This window comes from Homo sapiens, chromosome 1, assembly GCF_000001405.40.
Source record: "Homo sapiens chromosome 1, GRCh38.p14 Primary Assembly".
NCBI classification, from domain to species: domain Eukaryota; kingdom Metazoa; phylum Chordata; class Mammalia; order Primates; family Hominidae; genus Homo; species Homo sapiens.
The window spans coordinates 27,982,015-28,008,763 of record NC_000001.11 but is presented as its reverse complement, the minus strand read 5'-3'; the positions used below and the strand labels follow the sequence as shown (position 1 = coordinate 28,008,763).

The 26,749-nt window shown below is 41.2% G+C and overlaps 1 protein-coding gene across 17 annotated transcripts in view, besides 1 other annotated feature; it reads left to right on the top strand.

Annotated features, from left to right (window-relative positions):
- The window catches only part of EYA3 (EYA transcriptional coactivator and phosphatase 3), a 118,267-nt gene that overhangs the window by 79,847 nt on the left and 11,671 nt on the right, over nt 1–26,749 (top strand). For 15 of the 17 annotated variants that reach the window (NM_001282562.2, NM_001282561.2, NM_001990.4 and 12 more), the window contains 6 exons: nt 4,345–4,428; nt 8,715–8,804; nt 11,386–11,444; nt 15,204–15,364; nt 18,953–19,067; nt 20,108–20,229. In NM_001282562.2, the coding sequence (NP_001269491.1) occupies nt 4,345–4,428; nt 8,715–8,804; nt 11,386–11,444; nt 15,204–15,364; nt 18,953–19,067; nt 20,108–20,229 (631 nt within the window). Of the gene's footprint in view, nt 1–4,344; nt 4,429–8,714; nt 8,805–10,412; nt 10,481–11,385; nt 11,445–15,203; nt 15,365–18,952; nt 19,068–20,107; nt 20,288–26,749 lie in introns of those variants that run through there. The other 2 variants (NR_104214.2, XR_007096080.1) reach the window with 2 other exon arrangements.
- Nucleotides 25,520–25,720: a silencer, noted in NCBI's record as "peak136 fragment used in MPRA reporter construct". NCBI's record gives its function as "represses an SCP1 promoter by STARR-seq MPRAs in K562 erythroleukemia cells {active_cell/tissue: K562}" and the evidence as "EXISTENCE:reporter gene assay evidence [ECO:0000049][PMID:32103011]".

Genomic DNA, 26,749 nt, shown 5'->3' with positions numbered 1-26,749 from the left:
CCATGTTGGCCAGGCTGGTCTTGAACTGCTGACCTCAGGTGATCCACCCACCTCAGCCTCCCAAAGTGCTGGGATTACAAGCATGAGAACCTTTGCCCACTTTTAAACTGGGTTGTTTGGTTTTTCATTGTTGAGTTGTAGGAGTTCTTTGTATATTCTATATTAATATTCTAGAATATTCTAGATTATTAATCCCTTATATTAATCAGATATATAATCTTCAAATATTTTCTCCCATTCTGTAGGTCGTCTTTTCACTCTCTCAATTTTTGTGCTTTGAAGCACAAAAATTTTTAATGTTTAGGAAGTCTGATTTCTATTATTGCTGTGCTTTTGGTCTAATACTTGTTGTTTCTTTTTGTTTTGTTTTGTTTTCTTGGTGTAATACTTAATACACGGTTATGAAGATTTTTATGTATTTTTTCTGAGATTTTCATCGTTTAGCTCTTAAATTTAGGCTGTTCTCCATTTTGAGTTAGTTTTGTATATGGTGTAAGATAATGGTCTAACTTTATTATTTTGCATATGGATATCCAGTTTTCCCAGCACTATTTGTTGAAAAGACGTTCCTTATTGAATGGTTTTGGCATCCTATTAAAAATTAACTTATGATGTTGGCTGTAGGTTAAATACTAAAAGAAGGTAAAAAACTAAACTAAAAAAAGAAAAAGAAAAATTGATCATATTTGTAAGGCTTTATTTTTAGACTCTCGGTTTATTTCATTCGTCTCTATGTCTATCCTTATGCTAGTACCACACTGTTTTGGTTACTGTAAGTTTTGAAATCAGGAAGTGTGAATCCTTCAACTTTGTTCTATTTCAAGACAGTTTTGGCTATTTGGGGTTCCTTGAGATTCATAAGAATTTTAGAATGCAATTTTCTATTTTTTTAAAAAACTACTATTGGATTTTGATAGGGATTGCGTTGAATTTGTAGGTTGGTTTGGGTAGTATTGTCTTCTTTACAATATTAAGTCTTCTAATCCATGAACATGGATGTCTTTCCGTTTATTTAGCTATGCCTACTTGGTTAAATTTATTCCTAAGTATTTTCTTTTTGATGCTATCACAAAAGGTTTTTAAATTTCCTTTTCAAATTATTCATTGCAAGTATATAGAAATACAGCTGATTGGCCGGGCGCAGTGGCTCAGTCTGTAATCCCAGCACTTTGGGAGGCTGAGGTGGGCAGATCACAAGGTCAGGAGTTCAAGACCGGCCTGACCAACATGGTGAAACCCCGTCTCTACTAAAAATACAAAAATTAGACGGGCATGGTGGCAGGCGCCTGTAACCCCAGCTACTCGGGAGGCTAAGGCAAGAGAACTGCTTCAACCTGGGAGGCGGAGGTTGCAGTGAGCCGAGATCGTACCACTGCACTCCAGCCTGGGTGACAGAGCAAGACTGTCTCGGAAAAAAAAAAAAAAAGAAAGAAAGAAAGAAATACAGCTGATATCTGAATTTATTTATTAGCTTTAACAATTTTCTCTGGGTTATTTAAGGTTTTCTACATATAAGATCACATCGGCCAGGGACAGTGGCTCACGCCTCTAATCCCAGCACTTTGTGGGCAGATCACCTGAGGTCAGGAATTTGAGACCAGCCTGGTCAACGTGGCAAAACCCTGTCTCTACTGAAAGTACAAAAATAAAAAAAAATTAGCCGGACCTGGTGGTGCACACCTGTAATCCCAGCTACTTGGGAGGCTGAGGCAGGAGAATCGCTTGAACCTAGGAGGTGGAGGTTGCAGTGAGCCCAGATTGCACCACTACACTTCAGCCTGGGTGACAGAGCGACACTCTTTCTCAAAAAAAAAAAAAAAAAAAAAAAAGATTATGTCATCTGCAAACAGATAATTTTGCTTCTTCCTTTCCAAATTGGATGTCTTTTTCCCCTTTCTTGCCAAATCTCTCTGGCTAGAACTTCCAGTACTATGTTGAATAGAAGTGGCAAAAACAGACATCCTTGTCTCAGGAGTAAAACTTTCAGTCTTTCACCACTAGGTGTGGTACTAGTTATGGATTTATTTTTATTTTTATTTATTTTTTATTTATTTTTTGGAGATGGAGTCATGCTCTGTCACCCAGTCTGGAGTGCAGTGGCATGATCTCAGCTCACTGCAACCTCCGCTTCCCAGGTTCAAGCGATTCTCCTGCCTCGGACTCCTGAGTAGCTGGGATTACAGGCGCGTGCCACCACACCCGGTTAATTTTTTGTGTTTTTAGTAGAGATGGGGTTTCACCATGTTAGCGAGGATGGTCTCTATCTCCTGACCTTGTGATCCACCTGCTTCAGTCTCTCAAAGTGCTGGGATTGCAGGCGTGAGCCACCGCGCCCGGCTAGTTATGGATTTTTTATATATGGCCTTTATCATATTGATAACATTCCCTTCTATCCCTCATTTATTGAAAAAATAATAAACTAGGAATAGAAAGGGTGTTGAATGTTGTCAAATGCATTTTCTGCATCAGTTGAGATTATCATGTAGCTTTTTCCCCCTCTGTTCTATTAATGTGATGCATTACTTTGCATAATTTTTTTTTCCAATAAGCCTTTTGCACTCCTAATTAATTTTTTAATGTTGAATGAACCATCCTTACATCCTTATGTTCTGAGAACTAATCTCACTTGGTTATGATGTTTAATTCTTTTTTTTTTTTTGAGACAGAACCTCTCTCTGTTGCCCACACTGGAGTGCAGTGGCACAATCTCAGCTCACTGCAACCTCTGCCTCCTGGGTTCAAGTGATTCTCCTGCCTCAGCCTCCCAAGTAGCTGGGACTACAAGTGTGCACCACCACACCCAGCTAATTTTTGTATTTTTAGTAGAGACGAGGTTTCACCAGGTTGGCCAGGCTGGTCTCGAACTCCTGACCTCAGGTGATCCTCCTGCCTTGGCCTCACAAAGTGCTGGAATTATAGGCATGAGCCACCATGCCCGGCCATGATGTTTAATTCTTTTAATATGCTGCTGAATTTGGTTTACCTCTATTTTGTTTAGTTTTATAGATGTGTGGTTTTTTGGGGGTTTTTTGTTTTTTGGGTTTTTTTTGAGACAGGTTCTCACTTCGTTGCCCAGACTGGAGTGCAGTGGTGTGGTCCCTGCACACTGCATCCTTGACTTCCCACGCCCAAGTGATCCTCCCGCCTCAGCCTCCCAAGTAGCTGGGACTACCGGCATGCACCACCGGAACTGGGTAATTTTTGTGTTTTTTTGTAGAGACGGTGTTTTGCCATGTTGTCCAGGCTGGTCTCAAACTCCTGGGCTCAAGCGATCTGCCTGCTTCAGGCTCTCACAGTGCTAGGTTTACAGGTGTGAGCCACTGTGCCTGGCCTGTTGAGTATTTTTATATTGATTTTCACAAGAGATGTTGGTCTGTAGTTTTCTTACAGTGCCTTAGTCTGACTTTGGTATCAGGATAATGCCTCATTGCATTAGTCAGGAAGTATTCCCTCCTCTTCCTTTTTTTGTAAGAGTTTAAGGAGGATTCGTGTTAATTCTGTAAATGTTTGGAAGAACTCACCATTAAAACCATCTTGTCTTGGGCTTTTCTTTGTTGGGATGTTTTTAATTATGCATTCAATCTCCTTACTCTAGTTATAGCTCTTACCGGATTTTGTATTCCTTCTTGAGACAGTTTTGGTACTTTATGCTATGTATTTCTAGGAATTTGACCATTTCACCTGGGTTATCCAATCTCTTGGTATACAACTGTGCATAGTATTCTCTTGTAATCCTTATTTCTATAAAACTGGTAGTGATGTCCCCACTTTCATTTCTGATTTTAGTCATTTGAATCTTCTTTTTTTTCCCTTAGTCAATTTAGCCAAAGGTTGTGAATTTTATAGATATTTTCAAAGAACCAACTTTTTGTTTCATTGATTTTTCTCTGTTGTTTTTGTAGTCTCTCTTCTATTTATCTCTGCTCTAGCCATTGTTATTTCCTTCCTACTGCTAGCTTTATGTTTATTTTGCTGTTTTTCTAGTTTCTTAAGATATGCAATTAGGTCATAGATTTGGGATCATTTGTCTTTTTTAATGTATGTATAAAATACATATATATATGTAAAATGTAATACATATATATAAAATAAGCTATAATTTTTCCTCTTAGCACTGCTTTCACTGTATTCCACAAATTTAATGTTTTATTTCTGTTTTCATTCAACTCAAGGTATATTCTGATTTCACTTATGATTTCTTCTTTGACGCATTGGTTGTTTAGGATTGTATTGTTTAATTCCTACATATTTATGAATTTCCCAGTTCTCTTTCTGTTATTGATTTCTGGTTTCATTCCATTGTAATTGGAAAATATACTCATTTTTTATATTTTCTTTCCTCAGCGGGTATTTCTGTGGGACTTGGATGAAACCATCATCATCTTCCACTCACTTCTTACTGGATCCTATGCCCAGAAATATGGAAAGGTAATTTGAGTCTTCTTTGTTGTAACTGTCCCTCTTCTGACTATATAGTCAGTCCCTCTTCTGACACATAACAAATTATTTCTCTGCTACCCCTGTTGGCTGGCTTTTCACTTTCCATGTAAAACTTCAACAAATGGCTTGCAAATGGCTTGTATTAGGCAGGCTACATGGTCAGGCAGAATTGATGGTAAAGTGGTAAAGTTAGAAACTACTAGAACCAATGCTGAAAGCTGAAGTTGTAGGAGAATGGCATTTTGTGAAGATTAAAGTATAGAAATGAGGCTCAAAATAGAGCAGAGTCTCAAGATTATATTAATAAATTCCAGAGGCTGATGTCTTATTCCTTAACACACTTTTAACAGCCCAAATTGAGCATTTTATTTAGCCAAATATATGCCAGATATATATAAGTAAAATATATAGATAAAATATCTTTCTAAAATAGATTAATCCCTTTTTAAACTAAATACACCAAGCAAAACTTGTTATATCTTCAGTGTACATATCAGTTTTAACAGAAGGATGGGCTGTTTTGAGACTATTAGGCTGTGTATTTCTATTCTAAATTACCTCCAAGCTCATGTTTTTCAGTTTATATGAATAAATTTTATACAAATATCTGCACCCCAGCCAGGTGCAGTGGCATGCACCTGTAGTCTCAACTACTCAGGAAGCTGAGGTGGGAAGATTGCTTGAGCCTAGGAGTTCGAATCCAGCTTGGGCAACTTAGCGAGACCCCATCTCTAAAAATAAAAATATTTGCCTCCTTTACCTGTCCTGTTACTTCCAGTTATTTCATATGGTTACTAATGTTTTTGTTAGTAGGTGTGGGTTTTTTTGTTTGTTTGTTTGTTTGTTTGTTTTTTGAGAGAGAGTCTTGCTCTTGTCACCCAGGCTGGAGTACAGTAGCATGATCTCTGCTCACTGCAACCTCTGCCTCTCGGGTTCAAATGATTCTCCTCCCTCAGCATCCCAAGTAGCTAGGATTACAGGTGCCCGTTACCATGCCTGGCTAATTTTGTTGTTGTTGTTGTTGTTGTTGTTGTTGTTGTTGTTGTTGTTGTTTGAGACGGAGTCTCGCTGTGTCACCTGGGCTGGAGTGCAATGGCGTGATCTCAGCTCACTGCAAGCTGTGCCTCCTGGGTCCACGCCATTCTCCTGCCTCAGCCTCCCCAGTAGCTAGGACTACAGGCGCCTGCCACCACGCCCAGCTAATTTTTTTTTTTTTTTTTTTTGTATTTTTAGTAGAGACAGGGTTTCACCGTGTTAGCCAGGATGGTCTTGATCTCCTGACCTCGTGATCCGCCCACCTCGGCCTCCCAAAATGCTGGGATTACAAGCGTGAGCCACTGCGCCCAGCCCTAATTTTTGTACTTTTAGTAGAGACAGGGTTTTACCATGTTGGCAAGGCTGGACTCGAACTCCAGCCTCAAGTGATCCGCCTGCCTCGGTCTTCCAAAGTGCTGGGATTACAGGTGTGAGCCACTGTGCTTGGCCAGGAGGTTTGTGTTTTTTTTTTCTCCTGAGATAATATCTCGCTCTGTCATGCAGGCTGGAGTACAGTGGCGCAAACACAGCTCACTGCAGCTTCGATCTCTTGAGCTAAAGCAATCCTCCTGCCTCAGTCCTCCAGGTATCTGGGACTACAGGCACATGCCACCATACCCGGCTAATTTTGTTTTATTTTTGTAGAGATGGGATCTCGCCATGTTGCCCAGTCTCATCTTGAAATCTGAGGCTCAAGTGATTCTCCTGCCTCAGTCTCCCAAAGTGCTGTGATTATAGGCATGAGCTTCTATACCCAGCCTCTGTTAGTATTTTCTACAGGCTTTTAGTGTCTAGTCTGGCATGCTGACATAAGCTATATAACTAAACTGATTATAAAAATATATAAAATTAAAAAAATTATATATATATTTATAAAATAAGACCAGGCGTGGTGGCTCTCATCTGTAATCCCAAAATGTGTATAAAAATTTTATATATTGGCCAGGCATGGTGGCTCACGCCTGTAATCCCAGCACTTTGGGAGGCCAAGGCGGGTGGATCACCTGAGGCCAGGAATTCGAGACCAGCCTGGCCAACAGGGTGAAACCCCATCTCTACTAAAAATACAAAAATTGCCGGGTGCGGTGGCTCACACCTGTAATCCCAGCACTTTGGGAGGCCGAGGAGGGCAGATCAGCTGAGGTCAGGAGTTCGAGACCAGCCTGACCAACATGGAGAAACCCCGTCTCTACTAAAAATACAAAATTAGCTGGGCGTGGTGGCACATGCCTATAATTCCAGCTACTAGAGAGGATGAGGCAGGAGAATCGCTTGAACCTGGGAGGCGGAGGTTGCGGTGAGCTGAGATCGCACCATTGCACTCCAGCCTGGGCAACAAGAGCGAAATTCCGTCTCAAAAAAATAAATAAAATAAAATAAAAATTCAAAAATTAGCCGGGCATGGTGGCACATGCCTGTAATCCCAGCTACTAGGGAGGCTGAGGCAGGAGGATCACTTGAACCTGGGAGGTGGAGGTTGCAGTGAGCCGAGATCGCGCCGCAGCACTCCAGCCTGGGTGACAGAGCGAGACTTTTTTTTTTTTTTTTTTGAGACAGAGTCTCGCTCTGTCACCCAGGCTGGGGTGCCATGGTGCGATCTCTGCTCACTGCAAGCTCCACCTCCCAGGTTCACGCTATTCTCCTGCCTCAGTCCCCTGAGTGGCTGGGACTACAGGTGCCCGTCACCATGCCCAGCTAATTTTTAGTAGAGATGGGGATTCACCACGTTAGCCAGGATGGTCTTGATCCCCTGACCTCATGATCCACCTGCCTTGGCCTCCCAAAGTGCTGCGATTACAGGCGTGAGCCACTGCGCCTGGCAAAAAAAAATTTTATATATTTACATATACACATAATATTATTTCATGAAAAACAGTTTTTTACATTATAAACAAACACTAAGCTTCATGGTGAAATTTTTGGCTTTGACATTTAAGTTCACCTTTGAGCTGAAGAAGATATAATGGGAAGAGCACAGGACTGGGAGTCAGAAGACCTGAACGTGAAAATACAATGTATATATCTTGTATCATATATATTATTATATAAAATATATATTAAAATAATGTAATAAGTATATTCATATAATATGTGAATATATTTACATAGTGATATAGTTTATATAAATTATATATTACTGTGTATATATAATGTATATATCTTATATAAATATATACAGTGATATAGATATGTGTATAAATACACAAACACACGTACACACTTTGAGACAGAGTCTCACTCTGTCACGCAGGCTGGAGTGCAGTGGTGCAGTCTCAGCTTACTGCAACCTCTGTTTCCTGGGTTCAAGTGATTCTCCCACCTCAGCCTTCCAAGTACCTGGGACTGCAGGTGTGCACCACCATGCCCAGCTATTTCTGTGTTTACTTTTGTAGAGACATGGTTTCACCATGTTGCCCAGGCTAGTCTCAAACTCCTGGGCTCGAGCAGTCCACCTGCCTTGGACTCCCAAAGTGCTAGGATTACAGGCGTGAGCCACTGTACCCGGCCAAATTTTATTTTTTGTGGAGACGGGGGTCTTGCTTTGTTGCCCCAGCTAGTCTAGAATTCCTAGCCTTAAGCAATCTTCCCGCCTCAGCCTCCCAAAGTGCTGAGATGACAGGTGTGAGCTAGCTACCTTGCCTGGTCAGCATTGTATCTTTTTAAAAACATATTTTCTGGCCAGGTGCGGTGGCTCACACCTGTAATCCCAGCACTTTGGGAGGCCGACGGGGGTGGATCACAAGGTTAGGAGATCAAGACCATCCTGGCTAACATAGTGAAACCCTGTCTCTACTAAAAATACAAAAAATTAGCCAGGCGTGGTGGCGGATGCCTGTAGTCCCAGCTACTCGGGAGGCTGAGGCAGGAGAATGGCATGAACCTGGGAGGCAGAACTTGCAGTGAGCCAAGATTGCACCACTGCACTCCAGCCTGGGCGACAGAGTGAGACTCCGTCTCAAAAAAAAAGAAAAAAAAAATCATATTTTCTGTCCTCATTTATCTTTATGAAACTACTAATTTCTAGAAACTAAAGTCCTGAAATTTTTAACTGTCCATATCTTCTCTATTTTACAATCCTGGATTCTCATAACTGTGAATGAAATTGCATCAATGATAGTTTGAAGCACAGTTGGGAGCTCGTGTGTTTTGGCCTTGACCTAAAATAATTTTGAAATTTGAAGATTAGAACCAGGACTGTGACTACCAAGTCAAGCTGATTTTTTCTTATTGTCTTCTAGGACCCAACAGTAGTGATTGGCTCAGGTTTAACAATGGAAGAAATGATTTTTGAAGTGGCTGATACTCATCTATTTTTCAATGACTTAGAGGTAAGCATTTTAAATTGTTTCTGTGCTTCACTGAGACACTTCATTCAATAACTATTTAGAGCTTTTGCTTATTATATTAGAAGATATGTGTTTAGATAGGGTGGATATGGAGAGGCCAGCTGGCCACTAAGGCATACATACATAGTCTTAGAGAAATAGTACTTGTGGTTGGGTCACCACAGTTTTGGTTCTGACATTCAATTTTATTGGCTCAAAAATTTGATTTTTGTTAGTTTATTTGGAGGTGATCTAGCACTAGGGGAAAGGCCAACCCATCAGGCAAAACACTGACATATAAACCAATATTCTAACTTAATAATCTATATTAAATAATATATATAAAGTGAGTTTGATTATTTGTACTCTCAATTATGTTTTGACTTTTCTTCCATTTTACATTCTTAAAGGATAGTCTCCTGATTTGTCGAATCTATAAATGGTTACTCTAACCCATCATATTTTATACATATTTGTTGTTCATATGTAGGTTAACCTTGATATTCAGAATAATTTTATAGTTAGGTGCCAGAAAAACCAGGAAACACTAAGAGCTTCATGGTGAAATTTTTTGGCTTTGACATTTGAGTTCACCTTTAAGGTGAACATGGTGTAGCAGAAGGAGCACAGGACAGGGAGTCAGAAGACCAGAATGTGAATCTCACATAGGGAAAGTTATGTTCCCATTCTGGGCCTCAGTTATGCAGTCATCCTACACAGGAAACTACCAACACTGATTACCATCTATGGAGAGGGATGAGTTGCCAGGACACAAAGGTGGGAGGGAGCACACTTTTCACTTCATGTCCTTTGAATTTTGAGCTGTGTAGTACATGTTTTACCTAGTTTTAAAAATAGTGAAAATTTTAAAGTAAAGTAATATAGGATTTTATAGGCTGGGCGTGGTGGCTCATGCCTGTAATCCCAAAACTTTGGGAGGCCGAGGCGGGCAGATCACTTGAGGTCAGGAGTTCGAGACCAGCCTGAGCACCATGGTGAAACCCCGTCTCTACCAAAAATACAAAAATTAGCCGGGCATGGTGGCGCACACCTGTAATCCCAGCTACTCAGGAGGCTGAGGCAGGAGAATTGCTTGAACCCAGAAGGGGAAGGTTGCAGTGAGCAAAGATTGCACTACTGCACTCCAGCCTGGGCAGCAGAGAGAGACTCTGTCTTTAAAATAAAAAATAAAAAGATAGTATTTTATAAACACAAAGTAATCATTTTTTTAATCTTTTTTTTTTTTTTAGTAATAGAGATGGGGTTTCACTGTATTGCCCAGGCTGGTCTCAAACTCCTGAGCTCAAGTGATCCTCCCACCTTGGCCTCCCAAAGTACTGGGATTACCGGCGTGAGCACTGCACCCAGCCAACACAAAGTAATCCCATCTCTTTTAAAATAAACGTCTGTTCTACTCAACAGACAATTCTTCAATAAATTAATAGTGCCCCGAGCTCCAGTACTTTTGTCTAAACTCCATAATGCTTTAATCTTCCCTCAACTTCATATGTTGATAAATTAGGACATCATAGTTTTTATTCAGCAAACATTTATTGAAAACCTACTACATGCCAATAATTATTGCCAATTGTATTTGTAATGATTTTCTAGACATAGTCCTCACTCAGGAACTGAAAGTTCTGTGAAGAATTTGACCTGAATGTGTTCCTGCCCCCCAGGTCAGTGCTTCTCAACTTTAGGGGGCATAAGAATCACCTGGGGAGCTTCTTAAAAGTGGAGATTCTAGGACTTCACTCTCAGAAATTCTGATTCAAGTAGGTCTGGGATGGACCCAAGAATATGCATTTTTAAAAAACTTCCCCAGAGGATTCTGATGCAGGTACCCTAAGTGGTATCAGAGGAGTACATCCATCAGTTAGGTAGTGGGCGGCATTTTATGTCAGTAGTAGCATGGGCTTGGTGGAAAGAACCTTGGATTAGAAGCGGGGGAAAAAAAGAAGCAGAAAACCTGGGTTATTTCTAGTCTCTTTCTGCCACTCACTAATTGTATGACTTTGAGAAAATCATTTCACCTCACTTTTAAAACATGAGGAGATTGATTTAGATGACCTCTTCTAACTCCTGACTTTGAAGTTAGAAATTTCAGTCATTCTCGGTTTTGATACCACACTACCAGCGTCTGTTTTGTCTATAAAAATTTATTGGGCACAACCTACGTAAGGATACTGGACTAGATCAGAGAGATGCAAAGGAGATGTGAGATGTGGCTCCTGCCCCAAGAGACCTGCATTGTAATAGGACTTACAGTCTGGTGTAGGACATAAGAACATTTGAAGTGTAAGGGAGCTTGTGCTTATTCCCATGAGCTGTTGGAGAAATGAAATATTGAGATAGGAGTAGAAACAAGGGATGGGATAGTTACAGAACTCATGAAGACTGGGATGTGAATCAGGTCTTAAGAGGAATTGGACAGCAAGGGGTGTGAGAGTGATCACCCACACATAAGAGATTCCATAAGGCATTTCATTATCCTGCCACTGTATATGGTCTTTTTATAGTATGTCATGATGGTAATATCACTTCTACTCCCTGGACTGAAGTAATATGTTTTGTCTTTTAACAGGAGTGTGACCAGGTACATGTGGAAGATGTGGCTTCTGATGACAATGGCCAAGACTTGAGGTGATAAACATAATGATTCTTGAACACCAGTACACCTGTTATGTGCAAGATCTGTCTGTCTAGGTTTGGAGGAAAACAAAGATAAATAGAATATATCTCTGAAAGAGCTCACAACCTGTTAGAGGACATAGAAACAAACATAGTTAACCGTGATGTATAGTGTGAGAAGGTGACAATAGAAAATGCCGTGGAGCACGAGAAGAAAGAATTCTGTTGGGATAGGGAGTGGGTAGTGCCAACACTGGAGAGGTTTCTCAGTGGAGTAGCATTAAAGCAGAACATTAAAGAATGGGTAGCAAGCCAGGCACAGTGGCTCACACCTGTAATTGCAGCATCTTAGAAGCGCGAGGCAGGAGGATCACTTGAGTCTTGGAGTTCAAGACCAGCCTGGACAACACAGGGAGATCCCATCTCTGTAAGGTAGTCTTCCACATTTTATTATAGTGAAAGTTAAACCAAGGAGATCTCAGTGGCAAAATGCTTGCTCAGGCTCCTCATTCCTCTTTGTTCTGGCCCACTAGCCTTAGCTAAGAAAGATCCAAAAATTTATCTAGCTTAAAGACTTATAAGAAAAAAACCTGTCACATCTTTTCATATTAGTTTGTTTGAATGTTTATCCCTTTTTATAAGTAAAATGTTCTTCCCAGTAACTACCCCAAAATTCAGTGTTCTATCCACCAGTTCTCAAATACGGAGTAGAACTGGACATACCACCTTAATAAGGACCTAGTCAGGTAGAGCTGAGAATATTGGAAGGTTTCACTTTCAGGTACAGCATCCAGTTGTACATGTTGTGGTGTCACATGGTCATGGAGGGCACAATTCTTATGACACTTTACTGTTCTTTTCAGGGAAAAGTCTGGTCTGAAGAGTTTATATTCTGCTCTGAACCCCAGTTGTTTTTTTTCCTCTTATACGTGTGGCTAACCAGTAATTACTTATCATGTCTTAGCAGCTATATTTTCTTAAGCACAGAATCTCACTCTTAGCATATTGGGATCTATTTTAACTTTTGATTGAACCAAGTTGTTCAGTCATTTTTAGATCTTTACTTATGAAATATTAATCCTTCCTAGTTTGTATAATTGTATTATCTGTTGCTATGCAACAAATTACTCCAGAGTTTAGTACCTTAAAACAGTTAAATGGCCAGATGCAGTGGCTTACGCCTGTAATCCCAGCACTTCAGGAGGCCAGTGCGGGCCAATCACTTGAGGTCAGGAGTTCGAGACTAGCCTGGCTAACATGGCGAAACCCCGTCTCTACTAAAAATACAAAAATTAGCCAGGCGTGGTGGCATGCGCCTGTAGTCCCAGCTACTTGGGAGGCTGAGGCAGGAGAATTGCTTGAAACCGGGAGGCAGAAGTTGTAGTGAGCCGAGATCACGCCCCTGCACTCCAACCTGGGTGACAGAGTGAGACTCCGTCTTAAAAAACAAACAAATAATGAAACATTTATCCTCTCACAGCTTCTGTAGGTGAGGAACTTAAAAGTGACCTAGCTAGTTTTTCTTTTTAAGAAATACTTAATATTTTTTATTTTATTTTAATTTATTCATTTTATTAATATTTACTCAATTTCTTTGTTCATTTTTATTTTTTATTTTTGGCTGGAGTGCAATGGCACCATCTCGGCTCATTGTAACCCCTGTCCCTGGCCTCCCTCAAGCAATCCTCCCACCCCAGCCCCCAAAATAGCTAGGACCATAGGCGCATGCCACCACTCCTGGCTAATTTTTTGTATTTTTAGTAGAGGCAAGAGTGCCATGTTGCCCACACTTGTCTCGAACTCCTGAGCTTAAGCAATCTACCCACCTCAGCCCCTCAAAGTGCTGGGATTACAGGTGTGAGCAACTACACCCAGCTTGTACTCATTGTCTTTTTTTTTTTTTTTTTTTTCCTTTTAAGATAGGGTCTCGCTCTGGCACCCAGGCTGGAGTGCAGTGTTGTGATCATATATGGCTTGCTGTAGCTTCACCCTCCCAGGCTTAAATGATCCTCCCACCCCAGCCTTCTGAGTAGCTGGGCCCACAGGCGCATGCCACCATACCCAGCTAATATTTCCATTTTTTTTTTTTTTAGAGATGGGGGTCTCCCTGTGTTGCCCAGGCTGGTCTCGAACTCCTGGACCCAAGTGATCCCCCCTCATTGGCCTCCCAAAGTGCTGGGATTATAGACATGAGCCACCACACCCAGCCTACTTAAAGGATTTTAAATCTAGAAAATCTATTGTTAATTTATTTTTTCACTGTTACAAATTTTATTTTGTCAAGGTAAAATATACATATACATATAGAATTTACCATCTTTATCATTTTTTAAGTGTACAGAAGTGGTTCCTTTTTTTTTTTTTTCCAAAGAGACGGGGCCTGCTCTGTTGCCCAGGCTAAGGTGCAATGGTGCAATCATAGTTCCCAATAGCCTCCTGGGCTCAAGTGGTCCTCTCACTTCAGCCTCGTAAGTAGCTAGGATAACAGGTACACACCACCATACCTGACTAATTAAAAAATTTTTTTCTTAGAGATGGGATCTTGCTATGTTGCCCAGGCTGGTCTCAAACTCCTGGCCTCAAGCAATCCTCCCATTTCAGCCTCCCAAATAGTTGGAATTACAGGCACCAGCCACTGCACCTGGCCAGGGGTAGTTCTTTTCCCCCCGCAAGCTGAAGTGCAGTGGCGTGATCTTGGCTCATTGCAACCTCTGCCTTCCAATCTCAAGCGATTCTCCTTCCTCAGTCTCCCGAGTAGCTGGGACTACAGGCATGCGCCACCACACCCAGCTAATTTTTGTATTTTTTGTAAAGACAGGGTTTCACCATGTTGGCCGAGGCGGGACCTCAGGAGATCCACCCGCCTCGGCCTCCCAAAGTGCTGGGATTATAGGCATGAGCCACTGCATTCAGCCCCAGAGGTAGTTCTCAATTAGAGTTTCTGGGGTTGAAATCAAGATGTTGGCTAGAGCTCTAATCATCTGAAAGCTTAACTGGAGCTGGAGAATGTGCTTCCAATCTCTGACATGTGGCTGATGACAGAAGGCTTTAGTTCCTCATTACACATACCTCTCCATGGGGCTGCTTGAATGTTCTCACGTGACAGCTGGCTTCTTCCAGAGCAAGTGCTCCAAGAGAGAGCAGAAGAAGCCTAGTCTCTGAAGCCTAACACTATCAGTTTTATCACTTTCTATTTATATTTTAAGTATAGTCCATACCCAAGGGGAGCAGAATTAGAAGAGAGGAATATCAAAGAATTTGTAGATATATTTTGAAGCTACCACAGTGACCTATGAACATAAACCAGCCAGCAGATCACTTAAGGAAATATCTGCCATTATCTTACCATTGTTAGCATTTTAGCCTATTTCCTTTCATTATTTTTTCATGTTTCTCCTTTTTACATAGTTGCAATCACTGTGTGTGTAAGTGTACTCACAAAATTTTATATTCTGCTTTTTTCACTGTGTGGTTATTTTCTGTCATTAGTGAAAAAGATGCCTTATCCCAAGTCAACCTCTAAGGAATGCTGGTGCTTGAATTGTTTCTACCTTTCATTCCCTCTCTCATTTCAGTCCTTTCTTTGATAGAAGTAATAAGTGTGAGATAGAGAACTAATGAAAGATAGACTCTGACATACAGAGATTAAGGAAGAAGATCCTTAAAGCCATTGGCCTTATTTATCAGATACCAAGAACCCAACCAAATAGCACTCAAACAAAAACTTTATGCTGTATAAATTTTAATTTTTATTATCTTCTCTCCTTGCAGCAACTACAGTTTCTCAACAGATGGTTTCAGTGGCTCAGGAGGTAGTGGCAGCCATGGTTCATCTGTGGGTGTTCAGGGAGGTGTGGACTGGATGAGGAAACTAGCTTTCCGCTACCGGAAAGTGAGAGAAATCTATGATAAGCATAAAAGCAACGTGGGTGGTAAGTGTGGCATATAACCAGTCTGATTCTCTGTTTCTTCCTGGTTTCCTCCTTTTCTTTCCAGGGATTCCTTAGATTCCCCATGACAACTGCTTATAAATTATGCCACAGTTATATGTTAAACTCTGTATTTAAAAAAATAGAGGTTTGGTTGAAACCTTTTGGGAGGAAGCTCTATATTTCTAACGGGCTTCTCTAAGCATAATTTTGGAAAGTTCTCTTGTTGTCTTTGGACAAATGCCTTTTTAAAGGAAACATGTTCTGTAGATTATGTTTGATGACATGTATCACAACTGCTGTCAACGCTAGTTAATAGGGTGCCACATTTTTTTTTTTGGCTGGTTTATATAACTATCAGGACAAGTTAAGTAGAACTAGCTAGTAACTTTTCGTGGACAGAAATCTAGGTCCAGGATTGTAGGTTGGTAGTATCAATGTGTTGTGATTTAAAGAATCTTGGAAATTCTTTCTGACCAGAAATATTTCAAATGCCAGATGCCACTAAGCCTAAAATTCTATTATTTAGAATTAATTAATCATAGATTGTTTGAATTAAAAGAGACAGAAGTCTAATCTGAATTCCTCATTTTACAGTTGAGAAAAGTGATGTCCATCATAGGGGTAGTGGGGGCAGCTTATTCATGGTCACATTGCAAATTTGTAACCATACCATGTTTGAAATTCACATTCCCTAACTTTTTGGTCCAGTGCACTTTCATGCAGCTCCTTTTATAGTGAGGTACTCTTTTGAGAAAATATTTAAAACTGTAAACCATCACCATCAAAGATACAAATACATACAAAATGTTGCTCAAAGATTCAGGGATTACATAGCCTGCCTAGAGCAGGGGTCCCCAATTCCCGGGCCTCAGACTGATACCAGTCAGCGGCCTGTTAGCAACCAGGCAGCACAGCCACATAGCAGGAAGTGAGCAGGCCGGCAAGTGAGTATTACTGCCTGAGCTCCACTTCCTGTCAGATCAGTGGCGGCATTAGATTCTCATAGGAGTACAAACCCTATTGTGAACTGCACATGCAAGGGATCTAGTTGCATGTTCCTTATGAAAATCTAACTAATGCCTGATGATCTGAGGTGGAACAATTTCATCTCGAAACCTCTCGCCCCCCACCCAGGTCCATGGAAAAATTGTCCTCTACGAAACTGGTCCCTGGTGCTGAAAAGGTTGAGGACTGCTGGCCTAGAGGTATTTTACTCAAGGTCAAGAGCCCTTGTACTATACTATGCTGCCTTACAATATGGCGCAGAAAGTAGGAACAAGACTTTACAGATCAATTTGGTTCATTTCAGTTACAGCTCTCTAATACCAGATAAAAATCATGGGCTTCCAGACTTCAGGAATCTAATTTACTTTTTTCAGATTCCCCTTTTTGTTGCTTATTTCTTCTCATGATTCAAAGCCAGTATTTTTTATTTTGGTAACTCCACATCTTTTTGCATTTTCTTTCTCACAAACATTAGCCTTTCTTTTGTTAGTTTTCATATACAGCCTGAGTCTCTTTATCTTTTCCCTGCCCAATGCCTGGACCTGGTTTCCTGAACAAAGCGATGTAACCCTGTGTGAGAATCCTCTGAGCCTACTTTGGAGAATAGATTAAAATTAATGGCCAGCTGTATGTTTTGTACAATATGAATTGATGAAAGCGCCACATCATGTATTAGTTGAGTATATCATATATAGGTACTGGTTTTGTTGTCGTTTTGTTTTATCCAAAATGTTAAGAGTCATCTAATTCTAGGCTTACATTGTGGAACCATCAATCTGAAAACAAATTATACTCCAGTTCTCCTCCTCACAAAAATGCCATCTGCTTTTATGGAGTATTACTAATAGAATACAGGATTTTTTTTTAACCTTCACTGTAGAAAATTCAGATCCAGATTTACTGCTTGAATATTTTAACTGAAGTGTCTGAGAGCAGGCTCCCATCATATGAGCTCTCTTTTGTGCTTAGATATCTAGTCTTGGGTAGTGTTTTAGTGTCTTATCAGTTGGAGTTGTTTCAGAAGTACAGTATGGAGAATTAGTCATTCAACCTGGAATTTCATGTCAACATGTTCTGAAGCAAGTGGACAAGTAGTCACCATGGAAGTTCTGTGGAGTAGTGGAAAGACTTCTTAAGACCAAAAGCTGCAAACTTACTGTGTAATCTTAGGGCCCTTTTTTTCATTGGGTTTCGTTTCTTTACAGAGAGATTAGAAATGCTAAGGACTCTTCTAGCTGTAACACTAATTTTTCGCACTTTGGTTCTTGATGTCATGTTCTAAGCAGTGCAATTCAAAGTGTGGTCAACCAGTCTGCAAAAGATATGCTATTGGTTGGTGATGAAAGAAGGAGCTTGCACCAGAATCTAAATTATTTCTGTCAGCTGATTTTATTGTTGTTATTGTGTCCCCGTAACAAGATTTTTCTAAAAATTTATCTTTGCCTGAACATCCCCAAAACACTGTGATAAAGAAAGTAAAAATGGCATTCTGGGTAGCACTACTCTAAGGTTTCTCCAAGAAGAGAAATTAAAAAAAAAAAAAATGCCAGGCACGGTGGCTCACACCTGTAATCCCAGCAGTTTGGGAGGCCAAGGTGGGTGGATCATGAGATCAGGAGTTCAAGACCAGCCTGGCCAATATGATGAAACCCCATCTCTACTAAAAATACAAAAATTAGCTGGGTGTGGTGGCAGCTGCCTATAATCCCAGCTACTCAGGAGGCTGAAGCAGAGAATTGCTTGAACCTGGGAGGCGGAGGTTGCAGTAAGCTGAGATTGCACCACTACACTACAGCCTGGGCGACAGAGCAAGACTCCATCTCAGAAAAAAAAAAAAAAAAAGGACAACTGGTCTTATCTTGACACCAAGAACCACACTTCCAAATCCTTGTTCACTCACGCCAACACTGGCCTCCCGACAAATTAGGAGATGTTCAAGGAGAAACACGAGGTTGCCATGCTAGGGGCACCCCATAGCTCTGCTCCCTTGATGTCCTCTGTGATCCACATCTGCAGTGAGACCTCCATGCCCAAACCCTGTTCAAAATGCTCTTCATAAACTAGTGCTTCCTGGGCTTCATAGCATTAGTGTACTGCATGAAGTCTAGGGACAGGAAGATGGTGGGTGATGTGACCGGGGCGCAGGCCTGTGCCTCCACCACCAAGTGCTTGAACATCTGTACCCTGTTCCTCGACATCCCTGTGGTCATTGCACTCATCATGCTTTTCACCACTAGCTCAGTGATAATCTTCCAAGCAATTTCTCAGAAGATAAAGGATCTCCAAGGCCAGTAGTAGAGCCCATGTACTCCACTGCTGACCCTGCACCCTGGGGCTGTTGGTCCTGCCCTTTTGACCCCACCCCTATATACAGCAGTTTATATTCACCTGTCTACAATGGAATTCAATAAAGCACATGTGTTCATGGGAAAAAAATACGTATATGTATATATATATATATAAACATACTCAGTAGAATATTTCAGTGACTCACACTTTTTAAATTGAATTTAGAAGTTGCTTTCTCACTGTCAGCAAATATATGTTGTCAAATGATAAATGTGTCTGCTTTTATTCCTAAAGGTCTCCTCAGTCCCCAGAGGAAGGAAGCACTGCAGAGATTAAGAGCAGAAATTGAAGTTTTAACAGATTCCTGGTTAGGAACTGCATTAAAGTCCTTACTTCTCATCCAGTCCAGGTATGGAAATGGTTCTTTTAGGTCTCATCCTCTCAGCGACATATTCTTCTACTCCAGTTCAGGATAAGCCATTCTCTAAAATAGGGTTTGGGATAGGGGTAGAGAGGAGTTTAAATGATGTAGGGAAGTATTTGTGTTAGGTGAGAAGCAAGGTCATTTTATGTTAACAGCACAACTTCTAGTTTTAAGAGAATATTTATATATGAAATCCTTTTTCTTTCTCCTTACTTTTTGCTCACGAAATTAAAACTCAGTAACCCATAATCTCTTGTCCATAAGTTGGACCTGGTGACGTCAAAGAATACATGGAGGAGATGTTATTACAATGTCCTAGGTACAGGAAGCTCCAAGAAATGTATCCAAACCCACTAAAGAAGGCAAGATTCAAAAGAAAAAGGGTACATTAAGCAGATTAAGGAGATTTCAACGTGAAGCTTAGACTGGGAAATAAATGCACCAGTCTGTGTCTGCACCAATACCCTATTACTCCCTCCCGCAAAGCAGTAATTCCAGATCCACAACGTAGTAAACAGTAAAGCTGACACCAAGGAGTGGATATCTGGTGAAGGTAAAGGACATATAAAATTAATGTGTATTCTAGAATCTATGTTGCTATTGTGTGAAGAGCAAAGCGAACACAAATCATATCTCATTTATGGACTGACTTGCATTCAGATGAAAGAGTACAGCTCAGAGCTTTTTGTTGTTTGTTTTCTAAAATATGCTATCAGTGACATGGGTTGGTGGTATTTATCAAGTACTTGTGACTAGAATGGTCAGAGGGGAAAGAAGGCAAGAACTAAGTTGTTGCTGTGTGTCCACTAAGATAACAAAAATGAGTAGAATCTCTGCCCTTTAATATAGAAAGTAAATGAACATGAAATAATGAGTAGTAGCTGAACATTGGCTCTGAACAGTATAATACCAGGTCCTTTAAAGTTAATTTTTAATAATTAAATTCTAAAGAGTTGGCACATACGAATTCTTGCTCCCAGGTTGGTTTAGTTTCACCTTTTCTTTTCCCTTTTACTCCCTTATAGAAAGAATTGTGTGAATGTTCTGATCACTACCACCCAGCTGGTTCCAGCCCTGGCCAAGGTTCTCCTATATGGACTAGGAGAAATATTTCCTATTGAGAACATCTATAGTGCTACCAAAATTGGTATGGTTTCTATGCTGTTTCTTGTCACTGGCCTTGCAATAAAACTTTCTACTCATGATGCACCTATTATTTTCTAGCCCCTCTTGTTAGACACTTTATTTGTAATACCTACAGTCCTCACAACAGTCTTCTAATATTTTCAGTAATGCAATTGAGGCTTAGTAGTTATATAGCTTGCTCAGGTTCTCACAGCTAGTAAGTTACATAAGCATGCTCTTTGATAATATTTGAAAGAACATAATATCTAGCTTAGAAATCTAGTTTTGCCTCATTTCAAGTTTCTCTTTTTCACAGAGAGTATGTAGTATAATAGAAAAAGCACTAGGTTAAAAATCAAGCTTCTAAACTATATACCTAAAAATGGTGGCCAGACAAGATGAATCATACCTGTATTACCACCACTTTGGGAGGCTGAGACGGGAGGATCACTTGAGGCCAGGAGTTCAACACCAGCCTGAGCCACATGGCAGACCTCCGTCTCTACAAAAAAGTTTTTTTAATTAGCTGGGTGTGGTGGCACGCAGCTGTAGTCCTAACTACTTGGAAGGTTAAGGTGGGAGGGTCACTTGAGCCAGAAGTTCAATGCTGCAGTGAGCTATGTGATCTTGCCACTGTGCTATAATCTAGGTGACAGAATGAGACCCTATGTCTTAAATAAAATAACAGGTATTGACCAAAAAATTAGCTGGGTATGATGGCAGGCGCCTGTAGTCCCAGCTACTTGGGAGGCTGAGGCAGGAGAATGGCATGAACCTGGGAGGCGGAGCTTGCAGTAAGCTGAGATCGCGCCACTGCACTCCAGCCTGGGTGACAGAGCGAGACTCCGTCTCTAAATAAATAAATAAAAGGTATTGACAAGGATGTGGAGAAATTGGAACCTTTGTGCACTGTTGGTAAGATTATAAAATGATGCAACTGTTGATAGACACGGTGGTGCATACCTGTAGTCCCAGGTATTTGGGAGGCTGAGTCAGGAGGATCACTTGAGCCCAGGAGTTTGAGTTCAGCCTGGGTAATCTTCTGCGTAAATATCTGAGAGAATTGGGTCTCAGGTTCTTGAAATATATCCAAATATCCAAAAGCAGGGTCTCAAAGAGATACCTGCACACTCATGTTTATAGCAGCATTATTGACAATAGTTCAGAGCTTAGAAGCAGCTCAAATGTCAAATGTGGATGAATGGATAAACAAAATGTGGTATACACGTACAGTGAAATATTATTTGGCCTTAAAAAGGAAGGAAATTCTGTCACAGGCTACATCATGGCTGAACCTTGAAGACATGCTAAATGAAAGTGAAAATAAGACAATCACAAAAAGACAAATACTTTATGATTCCATTTATATGAGGCTTCTAAAGTAATCACATGCATAGAACTGAAAGTAGAATGATAATTGCCAGAGGCTGGAGGGGAAGGGAAATGGGAATTGTTCAACGGGTATAGAGTTGCGGTCATGCAAAATGAAAAGGTTCCAGACATCTGTTAAATAATAGTTAACATGACAGAACTTTACACTTAAAAATTGTTAAGAGGCCGGGTACAGTGGCTCACACCTGTAATCCCAGCACTTTGGGAGGCTCAGGTGGGTGGATCACAAGGTCAGGAGATCGAGACTATCCTGGCTCACACGGTGAAACCCCATCTCTACTAAAAATACAAAAAATTAGCTGGGCGTGGTGGCACTCGCCTGCAGTCCTAGCTACTCAGGAGGCTGAGGCAGGAGAATCCCTTGAACCTGAGAGGCGGAGGTTGCAGTGAGCCGAGATTGCACCACTGCACTCCAGCCTGGGTGACAGAGTGAGACTCCATCTCGAAATAATAATAATTGTTAAGAGAAGCCAGGCACAGTGGCTCACGCCTGTAATCCCAGCACTTTGGGAGGCCAAGGCAGGTGGATCACTTGAGGTCAGGAGTTCAAGACCAGCCTGGCCACAATGGTGAAACTCTGTCTCTACTAAAAATACAAAATTAGTCGGGCATGGTGGCGTGAGCCTGTAATCCCACCTACTTGGGAGGCTGAGGCAGGAGAATTGCTTGAGCCTGGGAGGTGGAGTTGCAGTGAGCCGAGATCGCGCTACTGCACTCCAGCCTGGGCAACAGAGTGAGACTCTGCCTCAAAAAAAAAAAAAAAAATGTTAAGAGAGTAAATTTTATGCTACTTTTTTTTGAGTTGGAGTTTCGCTCTTGTTGCTCAGGCTGGAGTGCAATGGTGCGATCTTGGCTTACCGCAACTTCTGCCTCCCAGGTTCAAGCGATTCTCTTGCCTCAGCGTCCCAAGTAGCTGAGATTACAGGCATGCACCACCATGCCCAGCTAATTTTATATTTTTAGTAGAGACGGGGTTTCACTATGTTGGTCAGGTTGGTCTTGAACTCCTGACCTCAGGTGATCCATCTGCCTCAGCTTCCCAAAGTGCTGGGATTACAGGCATGAGCCACCGCACCTCGCCAAAATTTTTTGTTTTAAAGATTAGTGAATTTCATGTTATGCATATTTTACCAGCTTTTTTTTTTAAAGGAAAAAGAAAATAAACATCAAGGACAAGGATTTAAGTCCTGGCCTCCCTACTACTAGCTCTCACCTTAGGCAGATTATCTTCTTTCCTGAGCCTCAGTTTTCTCAAGTAAAATGAGATCTTAGAAGTGAGTACAGGCCAAGTGTAGTGGCTCACACCTGTAATCTCAGCACTTTGGGAGGCCAAGACGGGCTGATTACTTGTGGCCAGGAGTTCAAGACCAGCCTAGTCAACATGATGAAACCCCCTCTCTACTAAAAATACAAAAACTAGCTGGGCTTGGTGGCAGGCGCCTGTAATCACAGTTACTCGGGAGGCTGAGGCAGGAGCATCGCTTGAACCTGGGAGGTGGAGGTTGCGGTAAGCCGAGATGGCGCCACTGCACTCCAGCCTGGGTGACAGAGCGAGACTCCACCTCAACAACAAAAAAAGAAGTGAGTAGAGATAGAGAAGAATAGAGGTCTAAGAACTACGCCCTGGGGTCCTCTAATGTTTGGATCATGAGGAAGAACCAGCAAAATGTGTCAGGAAGATTGACCTGTGAGGCAGGAGGAGAATGAGAAGAATGGTGTCTTGAAAGAATGAAGGAAGAGTGATCAACTCCTTCTAATGTTGTTGATGGGTCAAATGAGACCCAAGGGCCAGGTACAGTGGTTCACACCTGTAATCCCAGCACTTTGAGAGGCTGAGGCAGAAGGATTGCTTGAGCCCGGGGGTTCAAGACCAGCCTGGGCTACATAGTTGTTTTTGTTTTTGTTTTTTTTGTTTTTTAATTAGCTGGGAGTGGTGGTGCATGTCTGTAGTCCCGGCTACTTGGGAGGCTGAGGTGGGACAATCGCTTGAGCCCAGGTGGTCAAAACTGCAGTGAGCCGTGATTATGCCACTGTACTCCAGTCTGGGCAACACAGTGAGACCCTGTCTCAAAAAAAGACTTGAGAATTGAATTGAAGATTGTTTTTAGATACATGAAGATCATTAATAGCTTTGACATGCAGTTTGAATAGGGGAGTGATCGGGATTAAACCCTAATTGGAAGTAGTTTAAGAGAGAATTGAAATTTTATAGAACTGGTCTAACAATATTTTTATTAGGCCTGTTCTAATATTTTTACTAACTTATTAGTAAATGAGAGAGAATGGAAGGAGAGTTGGAGAAGGGAACTATACAACTCTTTAGAGGAGGTTTGTTTGGAGAGGAACAGAAAAATGAAGTAGTGGCTCTAGAGTTATATGGACTTCAGAGGATTTATAAGATTCATAAGAGAAATTATATCTATTTTATATGCAGATGGAAACGATCCACTAGATGAGGAAAAATAATAACGGTGCTTATTGTGTGCTAGGCAACGCCAAGGCACTAGGAATACAGCAGTGACAAAAGTCCTCTGTCCTCATGGAACTTACCTTCGATCAGTGGTGCTAAGATAACTGGATTATCCATATAGGAAAAAAGGCAGAATTGTTTTCCTTCTTTATGTTATATGCAAAAATAAATTACAGGTAGATTAAAAACTTACCGCAAAAGGTAAGTTTTTTAATTTTTAGGAGAAAATATAGAAGAGTATCTGTGTGATCTTAAGGTGAGGATGGGCCTCTTTTAAGAATCAAAAGATAGTATAAAAAGCAAAAAAAAAAAATCATTGATTGCATGGAACTTTTAATTTTACATACAGTTAAATATAACAAAGTGACAAGCTGGGCACATGCCTTTAATTCCAGCACTTTGGGAGGCCAAGGCATCACTTGAGGCCAGGAGTTCAGGACCATCGTGGGTAACATAGTGAGGCCCCATCTCTACAAAAATAAAAATAAAAATTAGCCGGGTGTGGTGGTGAGTGCCTGTAATCCCAGCTACTCAAGAGGCTAAGGCGGGAGGATCACTTGAGCCCAAGAGTTCAAGGAGGCTGCAGTGAGCTGTGACTGTGCCACTGCACTGCACTTTAGCCTGGGCAACAGAAGGAGACCTTGTCTCTTGAAAAAAGGTAACAAGACAAGCCCACATTTTGGGATAAGGTATTTACAACACATTTAATTGGCAGTTAGAATACAGAATCTATGAAGAACTGCCAGGCTTAATGGCTCATGCCTGTAATCCCAGCACTTTGGGAGGCCGAGGTGGGTGGATCACCTGAGGTCAGGAGTTTGAGAGCAGCCTGACCAACATGGTGAAACCCTGTCTCTACTAAAAATACAAAATTAGCTGGGCGTGGTGGCACACGCCTGTAATCCTAGCTACTGGGGAGACTGAGGCAGGAGAATCGCTTGAGTGGGGGAGGCAGAGGTTGCAGTAAGCCAAGATTGCGCCATTGCACTCCAGCCTGGGCAACGAGCGAAACTCCATCTCAAAAGAAAAAGAATGCAGAATCTATAAAGAATTCCTGCAAATCAGTAAGCAAGAGACAATTTTGAATATAGAAAAATAGGCAAAAACCTTGAAACAACCAGTTTGCCGAAGAGGAAAACAAAACTGTCAGTAAATATATGAATAAGTCCTTAACCTCACAAATTAAGGAACTGCAAATCAAGAAAATGCAAATTTAAATGTGGTACATTCTCCAACCATCAGATAGACAAAAACTTAAATCTAACAATGTAATGGGAACTCTGCCTCTGCAAGTGGGATTGAAAATGGATATAACCTGCTTTGGAGAACGTTAATGTCTAATGAAGTTTGAGGTGTACATAACCCTATGATCATGCAATTCCACTTTTAAGATATATATATACTTTAGAGCAGGGGTCTGCAAATTACAGTCCATGGGCTAAATCCTACCCTCTGGCTGTTTGTGTAAGTTTTTATTGAAACCGTGCCCACTTATTTATATAGCTGCTTTCACACTACAGTAGCAGAGCTGAATAGTTGCAACAGGGACCATAGGGCCTGCAAAGCCTAAAATATATACTATATACTCTCTGACTCTTTACAGAAAAAGTTTGCTAACCTCTACCTTTGAGTAATTCTTACATGTACAAGGAGACATGTACAAGGATTTTTTTGATGCACACTTGCTTATCATAGAAAATAATTGGTCTGTAAACCTGTCCATGAACAGAAAATTGATAGATATATTCAAACAACAGAATGCTATATTGCAGTTAAAAGTGGATTAAGTAAAATTACATATACTCATAAGGATTAATATTAAAAACAATAGGCCAAGCGCGGTGGCTCACGCCTGTAATCCCAGCACTTTGGGAGGCCAGGGTGGGTGGATCACCTGCCTGGCCAACATGGTGAAACCCCATCTCTGCAAAAAATACAAAAATTAGCTGGGCATGGTGGTGTGCGCCTGTAATCCCAGCTCCTCGGGGGCCTGAGAATAGCTTGAACCCAGGAGGCGGAGATTATAGTGAGCCAAGATTGCACCACTGCACTCCAGCCTGGACAACAGAGCAAGACTCTGTCTCAAAAAAAAAGAAAAACTGATGAACAAAAAACATTGCAGACAGATAAATGTACAGTATGTAATATCTATATAAAGATTTAAAATATTTACATTTTAGGAGTACTTGAAAAGTTTTGTTCTGTAATGTCTTGATTTTTTTTTTTTTTTAATCTAGAGCAACTATAAGGGTCAGGTGGAGTGGCTCACGCCTGTCATCCCAGGGCTTTGGGTGGCTGAGGTGGGAGAATCACTTGAGACCAGGAGTTTGAGATCAGCCTGGACAACATAGTCAGACCCCATCTCTACAAAAAAAATTTTTTTAATTAGCCAGGTGTGGCCAGGAGCCGTGGCTCATGCCTGTAATCCTAGCACTTTGGGAGGCCGAGGCAGGTGGATTGCCTGAGCTCAGGAGTTCAAGACCACCCTGGGCATCACGGTGAAACCCAGTCTCTACTAAAATTAGCTGGGCATGGTGGCGGGCACCTGTAGTCCTGGCTACTTAGGAGGCTGAGGCACGAGAATTGCTTGCGCCTGGGAGGCGGAGGTTGCAGTGAGCCAAGATCACGCCACTGCACTCCAGTCTGGGCAACAGAGAAAGACTCTGTCTCAAAAAAAAAA